Source organism: Homo sapiens, chromosome 7, assembly GCF_000001405.40.
Source record: "Homo sapiens chromosome 7, GRCh38.p14 Primary Assembly".
Lineage (NCBI taxonomy): Eukaryota > Metazoa > Chordata > Mammalia > Primates > Hominidae > Homo > Homo sapiens.
Genome location: NC_000007.14, coordinates 140074824 through 140091493, shown reverse-complemented (window position 1 = coordinate 140091493; position 16670 = coordinate 140074824). Strand labels below are relative to the sequence as shown.

General features: G+C 43.2%; 1 protein-coding gene and 1 long non-coding RNA gene across 3 annotated transcripts in view; one reads left to right on the top strand and one right to left on the bottom strand.

Annotated features, from left to right (window-relative positions):
- Window positions 1-6748, top strand: part of KDM7A (lysine demethylase 7A) — a 92238-nt gene extending 85490 nt beyond the window's left edge. For both annotated transcript variants that reach the window (NM_030647.2, XM_011516587.3), the window contains one exon: window positions 306-6748. In NM_030647.2, the coding sequence (NP_085150.1) occupies window positions 306-400 (95 nt within the window). In that variant the 3' untranslated portion in view covers window positions 401-6748. The remainder of the gene's footprint in view (window positions 1-305) is intronic.
- A 1157-nt stretch (window positions 6749-7905) lies between these two features.
- Window positions 7906-8697, bottom strand: LOC124901757 (uncharacterized). Its single transcript, XR_007060559.1, has 2 exons — window positions 8641-8697; window positions 7906-8310 (listed from the first exon to the last, which is right to left on the bottom strand). It is a non-coding gene; the product is annotated as an uncharacterized LOC124901757 (long non-coding RNA).
- Window positions 8698-16670: the final 7973 nt, after the last annotated feature.

Below are 16670 nucleotides of genomic sequence, written 5' to 3'. Positions count from 1 at the left end.
AGGATATGGGGTATTTGTGAAATGGTAGTCAGTTTTGTTGCCTAAGCATAGTGTAATGCAGGATAGGGAAGAGCCCAGGCTGAAGAGCAGGCAGACCAGACTGTGGGAAGCCTTGTGAGTCTTGTGAGGGCCTAGTGTGATGAGGTGGAAGGGTTTTAAACAGCGGAAGTTCAGAAGTATGACTCTGTCCATGCAGAACACCTAAGGGCTTACTTCCCATAAAGAAAGCTCTCCCCGTAGTCTTCCAGGTGCTCTCTTAAGTGTACTTTTCATCATTACTTACACTCCCTTTTGGTGTTTTATAGGTAAACGTCCAAAAAAAGGAATGGCAACAGCCAAACAACGTCTTGGGAAGATCCTTAAGTTGAACAGAAATGGCCATGCACGTTTCTTTGTGTGACAGAGCTGCTGTTGCAGCCATTCTTCCCTTTGGAGACCAGTCTAGGGGTGCAGGAGCCTGGAGCTTCCGCTGTCCCCCTGCCTGGAGCAGTTTGTGTGTATAGTAAGAACACTGCCCGAAGAACAGAATGAACCTGATGCTGCATTTTCACTGTGCCACACCCACTCAGCAATAACCATTTTGGACCTGGTGGGGGAGAGGAAGAAGGAGGGTAGAACCTTAAAAAGAGACCTTGAACTGGAAAGGGTCTCTTGTCAGGGCTTGAATTTTATTTTGTTGTTGGTAGTGTCTTGATGTATTTTCAGTGGTAGGGTAAAGAATTATCAATAATTTATTTAACAGATTTTTTTTTAAAGTTAACAGCTTTTAAATTCTTTTTTTAAAGCTATTTATTTGGAAGATTTCTGGAGAAATATCTCACTAATTTAGATGTAAGAATGTGAAGGTTTTTAAATTATTTTTGATAGTGTGTGTGTTACATGTGGGGAAGGGCCACAGTAACAGTAACTAGTCTGGACTCTTAAATTTGATATTCAGGTTAAAGTCTTAAACAGGGATTTGATGCATTAATTATTTTAAATTAAGATGTATATGAAAATCATTTTATTTTATATATTTCATGTGTTTTTTATAAGCTATTAGCTTCGCTTTTGCTAACATCCAAGGTGCATACTGTTATCCAGGTTGATTACCTTATATCCCACCTTCCCTCTGCACTCCCCATCATTTTGTGATGACCCAGTAAGACTCTTCTCTTTGCAGGGAAACACTTTCGTAGCCAATGTGTAAGAACTCCATGAAAGATCCCTCATTTCTCATTTCGTTTGACATTGTGATTTTCTTCTCAACATTAAAAAAAATAGGCTTTTGCATTTTCATTTCTGCTGATGATATCTGGGTCCCAAAGAGAGCAGCTTTAATATATTTTTCCTACTTGTGGGAAAAGTATTATAAGTTTGGTTAAATTGTCATGTTTATAGTTTTTCCAAGTACATTTGTAACTACAGCAGGCCTTCTTCGTACTGCTGCTGTTGGACAACAGGACTGGCACCTGCTGCAGAGGTTATACCTTATGATACTTTTATGCTCCATACCTGATTTGTTGGGAAATGTTATTTAGGATATTCAAATCTGCATCATAAGCCGTAATATAATAGGATTAATACTACATTAAGTTGTATAGAAGCAAGCATGTTGGAATAGATCTTTTGTGTGTATTTACTTTTTTTATTTCTTAATTTTCTAAAGAATTACTTAAGATATGGATTTGGAGTAAAATGGGTGCTTTTGGCAGTTTCTTCCATCTATCCTAACCTGACCAGTACATATTGAGGTTAAGTATCTGGTTAAACTTTAAGGTATTCATTTATCTCCTTTATGTATGATTTTTACTAAATGCCAGTTTTCATTTGCTTATAGTAGCTTCTATTTTCCCTTTTTTCCATCCATGGCATAAAAATAAGTGATTTCTGGGGGTGGGGCAGAAATGTTCCCAAGTCTGACAATAGAGCATTTTACAAATTCCTACAAAGAAAATATAGGCAAATAGATAAAATTTATTTTTATGGAGAAGAAATATGGCCATATTATGGATTTGTCTTTTTTTTACTCAGCAAGATAGCAGGACTTACCCTTCTCTATTAAGTATCACTTGAATTGCTAAGAAGAAAAAAGTCTGTACCATCATCTTTCATGGTTGCATTCAAATGTATATTTTCAAAGAGAAATACTTCTTGTGTCCCCATTCCAAAATGTCATGGGATAAATATGAAATAGTTTATGAAGTAGCCTTTCTGGTTCAGAGTGACTGGACCAAAGTCTGAATCTTATCTGGGTATCAGGAAAAAGAATTTTTATGGAAATCCTTAGTGTCTATAAACAACCCGTGTAAACCCTGTCTACACTATGCCAAAACCAGTGGAAAGATGGGTAGAGTCATCTTATCTCAGGATGTCAAAAATCTGGGTTTGACTGATTCCCCTACCTTCCCACACAGTATATTCTTGTGATTTTTGCTTTTCTGTAGATCCTGAGTCGGTGTTACAATAGTCATGTTTTTATTTTGGGTTAAGAAATACGAGGTGTAAGAGCTATAATTTCCTTTTCGTGTTATATCATGATCTGGGTTTTCTTTTTTCCTTTACGTTTTTCACAGCTCTTGAGTATTTTCTATTTTTTTCTTTAGTCACAAAAATTAAAATTAAACTTTATTTTTATGAATTAAAATGAAATTTAATTTATTTTTATGAATTAAAATTGTGGCCAGTATCCACTGTGTCCTTAGGCTGAGAAGTACTAATTTGGAGTAGCCCGTGTGTGGAATTCTAAAGTGAAGGTACTGTGGATTCATTTTTAGTAGTTTTAGCCCCTTAATAAGTGGCTAAGTTAGAAAACTTTCAGCGAGGTAATAGAACCACTTGAATAGAATCCATGTGTCTTTTTCTGAATTGGTGAAAATTCGGCCACTGATCCAGTGACTCCTGGTCAAACGTCTTATAACATTACTGGCCATAATGCATCCCTTTATCTCATGGAAATGGCTGAACTTTGTGGTAGCTGCTGCGAGTACCTGGGCTTAACAGTAATAGAGAACCTCATTTATACCATACAGACACAGCAACTTAGGAAGACAGCACTGATAGCATTTAGCTAGTTGTAACCAAATACAAATATGTAAAATTGAGAATTATGATTAACATATGCAACTTTAGTAATAGGAATAGATGATAATTTTCCTGTATTGTTTCAAATAAGTGACTGTTCAGCTGGGATCCATTGGATTATAATTTACAATGTCACATAATATTATGCTTTTCAATATTGATGAGTGATGTAAACAATATAAAGTTGGCAGTTTGTAGTAGTTCAGTATCCTAGAAATACATTGAACTTCATAAGTATCAGTTCATTTTTAAGCATACAGAATTGAAGATTCTGACTGAAATCATAAACTCAGAGGAAACAAGCCCATCTTTATCACTAATTACTTAGCTTGAATACTTTTCTATTTTTAAATAATCCTAATTATTGCCTTTTCAATTATAGTCTACTGTATTTATTTATATGGGATCAACAGGTATTTATCAAACATCTACTGTGTGCCCAGCACTACCTAGTACTGTTGGGGAACATCAATTTGCAGTTGTGGTCTCTGCCCTTGAAGGTATCTTCTCCAGGAAATTAGCAGTATTATTTTCACTTCTAAGCAAACATGAGCAAAAGAGGACCTGTTCATTAAAAAACATGCTGACTTTTTTAGTTTCAACTGAGATATGCCACTGTAGAAGTGAAAGTAATTTCACAATTAAAGAAATGCTTCAACTTGGTAATTAATATGGTCATACAGGGACTTGGTGTAGCATGCAAGGAAGCAGAAGACCTGGGCTTTTGTCGAAGTTCTGCCATTTAGGTATCAGCTGTGTAACCTTGAATAAGTCACTTAACTCTTTCTCTTAGTTTTCTCATTTGTAAATTTGGATTAAAGTGTTTATTATGATAATCAATTAAGAAAATCTCTTAACACTTCATACATACAGAGAACTTATCATTAAGTTAAAACTGGCAATTAATGCACCTTTATATATATTTTTAAATGAAAACTAATACTATTCATGATGTTTATTTTATATCAAATATATGCCCAGGGCATGCTACTTTAAAAATCCGAGGAATCTCCAACAAGGTGCTGGATTAAAATCAGATTTCGTGCTTGAAGTGGAAGAAAAATGAAGTTGTTTATGGATAAGAGAGTGAGAATGTGTATCCTCAAGTACGTTAAGATGATTTAACTGAAAGATGGCTTTAGGTTTTTCTTGAAGAATTAGGAAAGTACCATCCCCACAGATTCAGCATACTCTTCAGGTACTAGATAAAGGTGAAGGAAGTCATGGAATTAAAATGACTTAGCAACTCCCCAGGGAACTTGTGGGGAGAATGAGGTGGTTAGAAAGGTGAGAATGCACAAAGACAGCTCTGGGTTGGGTACCAACAGTTTGCTTGGTAGAAAGAAACCAGTGTAGGAAAGGAGACGCCACCAGACATCTTCAACAGACAAGATTCTTTCTGCCTTTTTCAAAAGATGCTCTCTGCAGCAGTAAGACTATAGATAGAGTTGATTGGAATATCATGTGACCCAGTATGCTACTGCTAGGCATAATTATCAAAAATTCATTTTTCTCATTAAATATTGTTAATTGCTCGCCACATAAAGAGAAGCTAGAGCTCACCAGTCTTGGTGGTGTCCTAGACCTTCCTCTAAAGCAGTCTTGGGAAGCTGGATCATCAGATCTTTAGCCTAGACAGAGTGTCGCTGGTAAATAAAGGAGACACAGGTAACCCAGAGTGGACAGTGATTTGCGTGGGGAGACACAGTGGATCTGGGGCCTCTGATACTTTGCTTCCTAAAACAGCCCCCAGTTTTCGGCTTGCCCTATGAGATGATGTTCATGTGCTTCCTTGAAACCAGGTGGAAAGAAAGGGGAAGAATTAATTTTCTCATTCTGTTGCTGTTGAACGTAATGTAATCTTAATACTGTAGCCTTCCTAGAAGCCCTTCCCTCTTTTTCATGCTGTAAAGTCAAATATTTGATATCCTTAACATAAATTTTAAAAATTAAGGTCATTAGGAAGCAAATGTCTATTTCCAAAGCAATGAGCTTGTTGTGACTGTGATTTTATTCTTCTATAGTATTTTTTTCCTCATTTTAACTGAGAGGAGAAAATAATACTCTTTTGCAATATCCTTAGGTTCTCCCCTTCCCCCTGGTGCCCCTTCTAGTGTCTTAAGACTTTGTCTTAACAAGTATAACATTACATTTTGTTGTTAAAACCTTTCGAAACTGTATTCAGTGATTCTTCCAAGTTTATCTGCTCTGCACTATTTCACTAATAAACCCTGGCTACCACGTAGCCCTTGATCTCCAAGTAGTTTACCTATGCAAGACCTGTGACACTCTGAATTCACTTCTCTTTCTTTCAGAAAGTAGTCATAAATGGAGCTTAATTATAAAGGTAAAACTTGTCTCCAACCAGTTTCATTTTGGCCATTTCTTTTTCAAAATGTCAGCTGTTTTCCTCCAAGATTTTTCACCAAAACAATGATCATAAGTGCTGGAATATATAATACTTTGCAGGCATAAAATAACCCAGACATACTCTCATATTTCTTTGGTGTATTTTGGTTGGTAAAACTTACCAGCATTAAATGTAAAATATAATGAGGAGTTAATTCCTTACCTAGAACTATTTCTTCCTTTTAAGATTCATAAGTAACCTTTTATTTTTACAGAGCTACGTATAACTTCCACATTACAGTCAGGGACCTGAGGTGTAACTTACTAAGTGAACCCCAAGGTTATTTTATCTTGCAAAAGAAACCTAAACCAAACTAAGGGCCTTACAGTTTATGGTTAGACTGAATCAAAAGCTATAACCTCAATTTTTCCAAAAACAGCTTCTGACTGCAAAAGCAAGTCATACAGTTGTTAGGTATGAAATAGCACTGATCAGGAAATGCATCTTCGCAGATGGTATTTCCTTCAGAAAAGACTTTTCTACTTTTAATATAAATTAAGCCATAACAGTTTCATGCTGTGGAAAGAGGGTGAAAAGGTTCATTTTAAGAGATTATATAATATGAACTTTCACATTTACTGTGAAATGTCTAACTTTGCCAGTGCTTCAGCAAGTTTTTTTGGGGGGTGATGGGGAGGGGTAGTATTGGTTTTAGAGGTTTCAAATCTGTGAACTTTGGAGAGGGGACAGTTGTTGGCTCTGGTATTTACTAGTTTTGTAGTAACGTTTTGCTAGCCTGACTGACTTTTCTTACTGGTTTTTATGCCCACGGTCCGAGGGGACTGTTCTTCTTGTTGGGGGTGTCTGCGGAATAGCGTCTCGTCTTGTTTGTATAGGCAGTCAATGTGTGTGACATGTGTGTCCTTTCAGTCCGGAAGCCCACTGTGTGACAATGGCGTGGGGTGTGGCTGGGAGGTGGGGTGCTGAAGCTTGAAGAGCATTTCTTTGCTGATTCATAACAGTATTTCCCATCTTTTGCCTGCAGGCAGGGAAAGTGTACAGTATTTATTTTGTTTCTGTTTTACTTTAAATTTGTAAGTCTTTAAGTAGCTTACATTGATTATTATAGGGGAGGACAAGTGACTTGTTTAAAGTTGTATTTAGTATTCTTTCCAATTTCTGTATTTTAAAATATTGAAATTAAAATTGTATTACTTCTGTTTTGATTTTTTTAGCACTTAGTGTATTTTTTGCTCATTTTGTTTGAAAGTATAAATGTTGAAAATTGTATAAAATGCGTCCTTGAAAGAAAAAGAATCTGAATTCTATATCCAATTCTGACTTTGTTCCCTTTTTCTGCTGATTGAATCATGGGAAATTATTTAAAAGTATGAAAAACTGGGTTCAGCGTCTGCTCCTTACTACTTCTGAAGACTTCAATGTGAAAAGTAATTGTCTTATTTTATTAGCAGTATTGCTGGGGATGAGTGATTGCTCAAAGAGAGGGAAGAATACAAAAGTGTAATTGGCAACATGAGGCTGAAACGTAGAAACGGATGTGGGTACTTGGCTAATGAACATTTCAGCACACTCACAGCCCCTGCCCAGGCATCCCACAAATATTTCCTAACACCTGCAGTACAGTAGGCACTGTTTTAGCACTAGTGCTGCAGGAGTGAGCAAAACCAAGTCCCAGGCCTCAAGGAGCTTGTGTGAGACACAAAAGGCAAGTGAGAGCCAGGGGTGTGGTGGCCTGGCTGGCTGGTGAAGGTGAGAGTGTTAAGTGCACACTCCGTGAGGAAGATGAGCTCAGTTTTGGACTCAGGGTCTGAGAGACAGGGATGATACGGACCAGGAAAAAGATCTGTCCTTAGAGGAGATGAGAGAGGAACTCTGGACCAGGAAGGAAGGAGCCCTGCAGGCATCACTTCCAGGGCAGAAGAGAAGCCTAGGAAGGAGACAAGTGGGCAGGAAGTCTGTTCCCGAGGAGAAACTGAGCTCAGAGTCCCAGAAACCAAGTGACCAGAAGGACCAAAGACCATACCCTCCCTCCCCCTAATATCTGCAAAAGAACAGGGACGCCAAAGCATGCACACTTAAACACACCTTGAGAGCTGCTTCCGCCCCTAGAACGGAATCCACAAAAGCAGTTTGCATCTCCTGTGTCTGCTTTCATGAAATTGGTTGAAATCTAAATCTGAACAAATCTGCTTGTTTTGTGAAAATCCATATACTATTTGTAAATTTGTGGGTTGTCTGCCCTTCCCAAAGCTCATACGTTAATGAAACAATGATCAGGACCTACTCTTCTTAGACTTTTCAGCTGATTTTTGTGGTTTCACAACAGTGAGACAGCATGAGACACATCACTGTGGGATGTTGATGATAAATGCCAATTATTTTACAGTAGGAAGGATCAAATGCTATGTTACAGACAGGATTTGAAACAGGAGCCCTTACTATCTTTTATTTCATTCCATTTGAGTACTTACTGTGTGCAAGGATATTTTTATTTCTTTCTCAAAATAACCCAGCGAGGTAGGTACTACATTCCTCATCCTACAGATGCATCCAAGGCTCAGAGAGGGCCAATGACACTTCCAGGTTCACATGAATACAGACATTTTCAGTCTGTCTGACTCTAAAGACTATTCTAAGCTGTTTCTCTAAGTATTTTTAACTATATACTTTTAATTAAGGAAGGAATAGATGGTCCTTAGGAATGGTTGGTGTTGTAAAAATTTCTTTGCAGGCGCAACCCACTGTGGATTGAAACTGTAGTTTCTTGTGGAGGTTTTTTGTCACCAGAACCTCTCTTGAGTCCACTTTTCCAGGAGCTGGGCACACTGAAGAAACATCTTCTAGAATTGAGCTCACCTTCTAGTGAATAACATAGGCTGTAAATAAATGACATGTGAGAAGTGCTGTTAGGATACAGGAACCAAATGTGGATTTCCAGAGGCTCAGAGCTGGCATATGAGTAGAGGCCATGCCCAGTGCACCCCTTCCGCCCTTTCTGCTGGACCTAACCATGGCCCCGTGGGGCAGCGCAGCAGCCTCCTTCACAGCCTTGCCCACCCGGGCTGCTCCCTCCTCTCCTGCCCTGGACACCGAAGCCACATCCTGCCCTATCTTCTGCCCCAGCTCTGTAGGTGGTCAACCCAGATAAGGAGGAGAGGAAAAGGTCCTGCTCTGCCCACCATCGCTGATCCTGGGGTGCTGCCTACCCGTGCCTTGCAGAAGCACCATCCACATCTTCCTCTTGATCCACTCCTGGGCTCAAGTCTCTCCTTGCCTTGTCCAGACTCTTCCCAGCCTGTGTCTCCAAAATGCCTTTACACTTTGTAAAGTGCTAGTTCTGAAATTTTATAAAATCAAAAGTTTACATAAATCCTATGCCAGAGTTGAGGAAAAAAAAAAAAAAGAAGGATCTACAAGTGGAAAGTAATATGTGTAAATTCCCTACTTTTTTTTTTTTAAGGCAAATATGACCTGGGACAAAAGACTTGCAATAACAGTAAGAAATAGTATTTGACCCTCTCCTATGCATATTTATTTATTTATTTGAGACACAGTCTTACTCTGTTGCCCAGGCTGGTACGATCTTGGCTCACTGCAGCCTCCACATCCCAGATTCGAGTGATTCTCCTGCCTCAGCCTCCCGAGTAGCTGGGACTGCAGGCGTGCATCACCATGCCCGGCTAATCTGTTTTTTTTCTTGTTTTTTTTTTTGTTTTTTTTTTTTTAAGTAGAGATGGCGTTTCACCATGTTGGCCAGGCTGGTCTGGCTCCTTGCCTCAAGCAATCCACCCGCCTTGGCCTCCCAAAGTGCTGGGGTTACAGGTGTGAGTCACCACCCCCAGCTTCCTATGCTCTTATTCTAGAAGCTGTCCTTCCGTTTCTGGGTGCCCTGGAGGAGTCTCGTACATCATATATCAATCCTACCACCATCCTCTCACCTCCCACTTACCACAACCTCCAATTGCAGTTTTCCCATCCAACCTCTAATCTTTGCAAATTTTTGTTTTTTTTTTCCTGAGACAGGATCTTACTCTGTTGCCCAGGCAGCAGTGCAGTGGTGCAGTCACGGCTTACTCCAGCCTCGACCTCCTGGGCTCAAGCCATCCTCTCACCTCAGTCTCCCAAGATGCTGGGACCACAGGCGTGCACCACCACAGCCAGCTAATTTTTAAATTTTTTGTAAAGAAAAATGTTGCCCAGGCTGGTCTCGAACTCCTGGGCCTAAGCAATCCTCCTGCCTTGGCCTTCCAAAGTGCTAAAATTACAGGTGTGAGCCACTGCATGCAGCCCAAATTTTTGTCTCTTACCCTTTGGGACCTGTATTAGGGTTCTCTAGAGGGACAGAACTAATAGGAGATAGATTAGATAGATAGATAGATAGATAGATAGATAGATAGATAGATAGATAGGAATTTATTAACTCAGTATCACAAGGTCCCACAATAGGCCATCTGCAAGCTGGGGAACAAGGAGAGCCAGTCTGAGTTCTAAGACTGAAGAACTTGGAGTCCGATGTTCGAGGGCAGGAAGCATCCAGCATGGGAGAAAGATGTAGGCTGGGAGACCAGGCCAGTGTATTCAACGTTTTTCTGCCTGCTTTATATTCTAACTGTGCTGGCAGCTGATTAGATGGTACCCACTAGATTAAGGATGGGTCTGCCTATCACCTTTGATCTTGTGAGTCTTCATTCTAACCTGTTAGACTCCATGGAATCCGAGGGCTAGGAACACAGACTGCAGTCAGAGTCAAGTGGGTTAAATTCTGGCTCTACCTTTACTAACTGGTCCTGGGCAAATTATATAACCTTGCTGTGCCTCAGTTTTCTGCGACATACTTATCTACCTCACTAGGCTACTGAGTGATTAAATAAATGAAAACATATGGCACACTCAAGGACAGTGCCTGGCACAAGGAGACGCTAACTACTAGCCATCAGATCAAGCTCCTCTCTGTGCTGCTGTATCGAATGCCATCTGAGTTCCACCAGCTGCCAACCAATGCACTTACTCAAGCTACTGCGACGAGTGTGAACACGATTAGACTAAAGGCAGGGCATCCACAAGAGAGCAAAGGGCACGGCTGCCTAAGGGGACAGAATCCTACTGGAGAAGGAAGCCAGAGTCCAGACATAAGCCTGGGAAAGTGCAGAAATCCTGGGACATGGGCTAGGGAGCCTGAGGTATCTTTCAGTTTCTGGAATAAGGCTACCAGGTGGTTAACAGTGGCTGGTTACCTCTGGGAGGATGGGAATCAAAAGGGAGAGATAATTGATGCTGGGCATTTTCACACATTTTACTTTTATGTTTTTGTGGAATTAAGAGAGACAAATGTGTTCTACTGTGAGGTATGTGTTAACTGCGCCCAAGACACACTAATCACACCATCATACCTGTGCACAGCCCGCAAGAAATCAGCCTGCCTGCTCCTGGTGTGTTGCACTGACAGCCCAGTGGGATGGGGTGGGTCAGGGCTGGTGAATGGGGCACGGTAAATCCCAGGGAGCTTGGCTGCGAAGCGCTCCCTCCTCCGCTGCTCTCTACCGAGTCTGGCTTCTATTCCTACCCTTTTCACTTTTTTGGTTACTTTTCCATGTTTCGTCTGTCTTTCCTACCAGCCTGAGTTTAAGGCTAGGATTGGTATTCTCTTATCATCAGCACCTCCCACACATTTTAGTACAAATCTCAAAATAACATTGAGTAAACCCATGAACATGGGTATTCCTCATGCTCTCTCTCCCTTTCCCCACCCCTGCGCACTCTTCGCTCTGCCTCTGGCAGCCATATGGGATGGGGGGAGTGGAAGAGAGAGAGTAAAGAGAAATGGAGAACAATGGGGAAAGAACCCTTTACAATTTGAGGATTCTGCCAACTATTAAGAACTGTAGAAATTCACCAATATGGTGTTAAAAAGAATGAGTATTTCAGGTTTCTTTATGAGAAAAAGGAGGAGGAGTAGATTTTCCTTTAATGAGATCAATTGTGTGAATGAGCTGGATTAAAAATATATACACCTCACTTAGAACCTAAAACTTAATTTTATTGTACTTGCTTTGTAAACTTTATATAGGTGTGCTTCACTTTGAAAATATCAAATATAGTCATGGTTAATGTGTAAAACTATAAAACAGATCAATAAGGTGGTATCAAGTTATGAAAGGACTTTGGCCACCTGCAGATGACACAGAACAGTATTTTCAGAGCTCAGGAAGCCCTCCATGGTTGCTGGGCTCTGCTTTAACTTCTGAGCGGTGTGATGCTTAGGAAAGCAGTTGCTCAGTGGTGCAGGAGGGCTTGCCTTGTAAGACCACAGGCAGCCCCAGAGTGGACAAAGATGTGAGTCTGGGCTGGTTAGGGAGAGAAGCCTGGCAGAAAGCAGGGTGAGCAGAAGGCAAACTCCTGCCTTGGTTCCTGCAGTCCACCTGAATGGACGCAGCTTGCGCCTCGGTATCTGGTTCCAACTCCCCTTCAGTACAAAACTTGCTTCCCTGTGAATGGGCCTCGACAATCTTCAGTTGCCCAGGCCAGGAGTCTGGGTGATCTCAAATCTTCCCTCTTCCCACCACAACCAGTGACTCTCAAAGGCCTGCCGGCTCATCCTCACGTGCCTCAGTCCACCTGCTCCTGGCCTCGCTTCAGCTCTCACTGGAGCTCTTGGGATCAAGACCAAAATCCTTAATGTGGTGAATGAGTCAGATGTAGATTCAGCTGTGAGGGAGAGAAAACCCAGGACACAAATGGCTTAAACAAGATAGAAGGCAGGAGATAGGTGTTCCAGGACTGAGACCACTTCCCGAGGGGGTCAGGGCCAGGATCTGCCCTCTGCTGGCCTGCCGTCCTTGGCACAAGGCTTCACCTCCCCATCCCAGATGGCTGCGTGCAGCCTGCAGCCTCCAGGGGGAGGAAGGGTGACCCTGTAATCACTTTATTGTCTAGTTTCTCTATTCTTGAGAGACTGAAAAGCCTGGACTTTGGAGGCCACAAGATTCGAGCAACCTAATGCCTGGCTGGCCTTGACAAGTTATTTAATCCCTCCTAAGTGAGTCTTTATTTCTTCAGCTCTGATGTAGGTATAAAATAGTAATTTATACTAAAAATGGTGGTCATGAAAAGCAGATGAGATAATCCACAGAGTTTAGCATTGTGCCTGGCACATGTGTAATAAATGTAGTAGTGATTTTTTTTTTTTTTTTTTTTTGAGAGAGTCTCACTCTGTCGCCCAGGCTGGAGTACAGTGGCACCATCTCGGCTCACTGCAACCTCCGTTTCCTGGGTTCAAGTGTTTAATATTTGATATTTGTCGCCATGATGCGGCGGTTTATCTGGGGTGGAGACAACGTCCCCTGTCCTCTGCGGGGTTTGTCTGCAGTGGAGACGCTCCCCCATGTCTGCTGCAGGGTCGCCCCTTGGCAGCTGCTTCCTGTTGCTCTCTGGGTCACCACACACTTTACATCAGGTCTCTTCCTACGGTTCTGCGACACTGCTGTCTGTCTGTGGTTCCGCCGCCTCGCTGGCCTCAGGTGAGAGCAGGTGAGAGGTGGGAAAAGGCCACACCTCTCTGCCTGCTCCTCCCAGAGCTCCCACAGTGCTCTCACAGAGTGAGGGCGCCAGGCCTCTCCAAAGGGTCTGAGCATTGAAAGGAATTGTGAGAAAATGTTTAATTTGTCCACTCAATCAGATGATTCCTCCCAGTCTAAGGGAAAATGAACCTGCTTAAGAACAGCCCAGGCCCTGGCCTTGCTTCCATTTCAGGACCTTCTCTCTGCTTTCGGTCTGTTTTCTGCCAGCGTACCCTGGAAGATGCAGATGGCACCTCCAGCTGCCTGACTGGGGAGTTTAAGATTATTTACAGGCCGGGCGTGGTGGCTCACGCCTGTAATCCCAGCACTTTGGGAGGCCGAGGCAGGCAGATCACGAGGTCAGGAGATCAAGACCATCCTGGCTAACAGGTGAAACCCTGTCTCCATTAAAAAAAAAAATACAAAAAATTAGCCGGTTGTGGTGGCGGGTGCCTGTAGTCCCAGCTACATGGGAGGCTGAGGCAGCAGAATGGTGTGAACCCGGGAGGTGGAGCTTGCAGTGAGCCGAGATCGTGCCACTGCACTCCAGCCTGGGTGACAGAGCGAGACTCTGTCTCAAAAAAAAAAAAAGATTATTTATAATGGGCCTGGTGCGGTAGCTCATGCTGGTAATCCCAGCACTTTGGTAGGCCTAGGCAGGCGGATCATGAGGTCAGGAGTTTGAGACCAGCCTGACCAACATGGTGAAACCCCATCTCTACTAAAAACACAAAAATTAGCCAGGCGCAGTGGCATGCACCGGTAATCCCAGCTACTCAGGAGGCTGAGGCAGGAGAATCGCTTGAACCCAGGAGGCAGAGGTTGCAGTGAGCCGAGATTGCATCATTGCACTCCAGCCTGGGCAACAGAGTGCGACTCCGTCTAAAAAAAAATTAAAAAAAAAAAGTAATAATAAAAAAGATTATTTACAATGGAGTGAGCAGGGGAGAAAGCAAAAAGAGATGGGGCAGCATCCTGGGGTTAGCAGCAAAGAGGAGCCCTTACCCCACTGAAAGTCTGGGGAAGGGAGAAGTTACCAGAATGCTGAGGAAGAGCTGTGTGGAGCTGCCTCCAGACAGGAGCTGTGGCCTCTGGCACAAGGATATGACCAGCCACTCAAGGAAAAGCCCGGGATCTGCGTGCGCATCCGCACTCTCCTCTCTGATCACCTGCCAGCTCCCGGCATGGGTGAGTCTCCATGGAAGATAGCTGGGGAGGCTTCTGACCCCATCCATCGAGGTCAGCCTCTGGGAGCACAGAGCAGGTTATAGGACAGTGGAAAGTGGACCTAGAGGGGCAGATGGAAACTACGCAGCACAAATCCTCCACTCCTCAAAATCTCCACACCCACCTCTTAGGAAAACCAACCCCTTCTGGGAAGGACTGATTTCACTCTACAACACAGCCTTCAATCATCGGCTGCAATCACCCAGTGATTCCCCGAAGTCTGCTACTCAGTCAAGAATAATAATGTTGGAGGGTGGAGGGCAGGAAGGTGAATCTTGGCCACTCTGTGGGGTAGGGGAGGGACCTTGGCACTCCAAAGACTGGTTCCTTCTCAGCTCTTCTTGCCAGTGGGAGGTGAAGATCTGCCTGTTCTCTTCTTCTGATCTCAGCTCACTGCAACCTCCACCTCCCGGTTCAAGCAATTCTTCTCCCTCAACCTCCCAAGTAGCTGGGATTACAGGCGTGTGCCATCATGCCTGACTAATTTTTGTATTTTTAGTAGAGATAGGGTTTTGCTCTGTCGGCCAGGCTGGTCTCGAACTCCTGACCTCAAGTGATCCACCTGTCTCTGCCTCCCAAAGTGCTGGGATTACAGGCATGAGCCACTGAGCCTGGCCTAAATTTCCTCTTCTTACAAGGACACCTGTCATTGAATTAGGGCCCACTCTAATTACTTCTTTTCAATTTAATTATATCTTTACAGACCCCACCTTCAATAAAGTTACATTCCGAGGTACTAGGGATTAGGACTTCAACATAGGAATTTTGGGAGCAGGGAACACAATTCCATCTCTAACGTGACTCGCGACTGGCTCAAGTACATGCATATATATTCCCGAGACTGACAACTCTCAGGACAGTTGATAAAGCCATAATAAAAACAGAAGCCGTCTTTCTTTCTACCACATCTGTGGAGATCCCCCGACCACGGGAGTGATGGCCAGTGCGTGAGAGATGGGGTTCCTTACAGAGCCATCAGCCTGCCTACAACCTCCAAATAATTGCTTTACCTTAGGCTAGATGCAATCTGCAAGCAGGGCTTCTAGCCCCACTCAAGTCCAGTGCAAGTCCTCAGGGATTAATATGGGCTCCACCTGGGTGGTGGGATGATGGGTGATGTTTGTTATTTTTTCTTTCCTCAAATATTTACTGAATATCAGGTACTGAACTAGGTAGGCCGGGGGTGGGGGTCCATGGGAAAAAGCCAGGGTCCCTTCTGTCAGAGTGGAGGTTACAGCCAAGGAAACAAGTAATGTGCTAGAGTCATGATTGCAACAGCTCTGAAGTCTGGTCCCAGGGGTCACACACTGTCCCAGTCCTGGCATCAAGCCTCGGGCAGCAGTGCAGACTTACCCTTCCCTCTGTGGGGATTATCTCCCCCCATGAGTGATGTTCCTGTGACTCGACCCACAGAGCACACTGGACATCATCTGCTCTGCCTAGATGCCTTTGGCTTCCTTTTGCCCTGCGGGTATGCCCGTCTGCAAGCTTTGCTTCTAAGGCCTACATCAAAACTCTTCAGGCCGGGTGCGGTGGCTCATGCCTGTAATGCCAGCACTTTGGGAGGCCGAGGTGGGTGGATCACAAGGTCAGGAGATTGAGACCATCCTGGCTAACATGGTGAAACCTCGTCTCTACTAAAAATACAAAAAATTAGCCGGGCGTAGTGGCCCCAGCCTGTAGTCGCAGCTACTCGGGAGGCTGAGGCAGGAGAATGGCGTGAACCCGGGAGGCGGAGCTTGCGGTGAGCCGAGATCGCGCCACTGCACTCCAGCCTGGGCGACAAAGCGAGACTCTGTCTCAAAAAAAAACAAAAAACCTCCTCAGCGGCCTGCCCTTGGGCTACTGGATCCACTTTGTCCAGGTGCAAATGCAGGTGCAGAGAGCCAGAAGGACCTAGGACTTTACTTCTGCCCCCATGCACACTCCCCTGCCAGCCTTTGCCAATGCTGGATGGATGACCAGTGCAGTGATATGACAGCCTAGAGGAGGGACAAACTCGGTGAGATTTACAGTCGATCCCCATTATTTGCAGATTCTGTATATGCAAATTTACCTAAGCACTAAAATTTATCTGTAACCCCCAAATCAATACGTATGGTGTTTTCACTGTCGTTTTTGGACATATTCAGAGCAGTGAAAAAAATTGAGCGCACAACGACAGCTGAGGTTGAGCAAGGCAACCTTCTTGTCTTCTTGTTTCAGTTCTCATAACGAGTGTCCTTTTTGAGATCTATTTAGTGCTGCATTTTTTGCATTGTTGTGATTTTTGTGGATGATTTTGCTGTTTACAGTGGCTCCCAAGAGTAGTGCTGAAGTACTGTGTGGTGTTCCTGAGTTTGAGAAGGCTGTGATGTGCCTCACAGAGAAAACACACGTGTTTGGTAAGCTTTCTTCAGGCATGAGTTATAGTGCCATCATCCGTGAGGTCAATGCTAATGAATTAACACTAT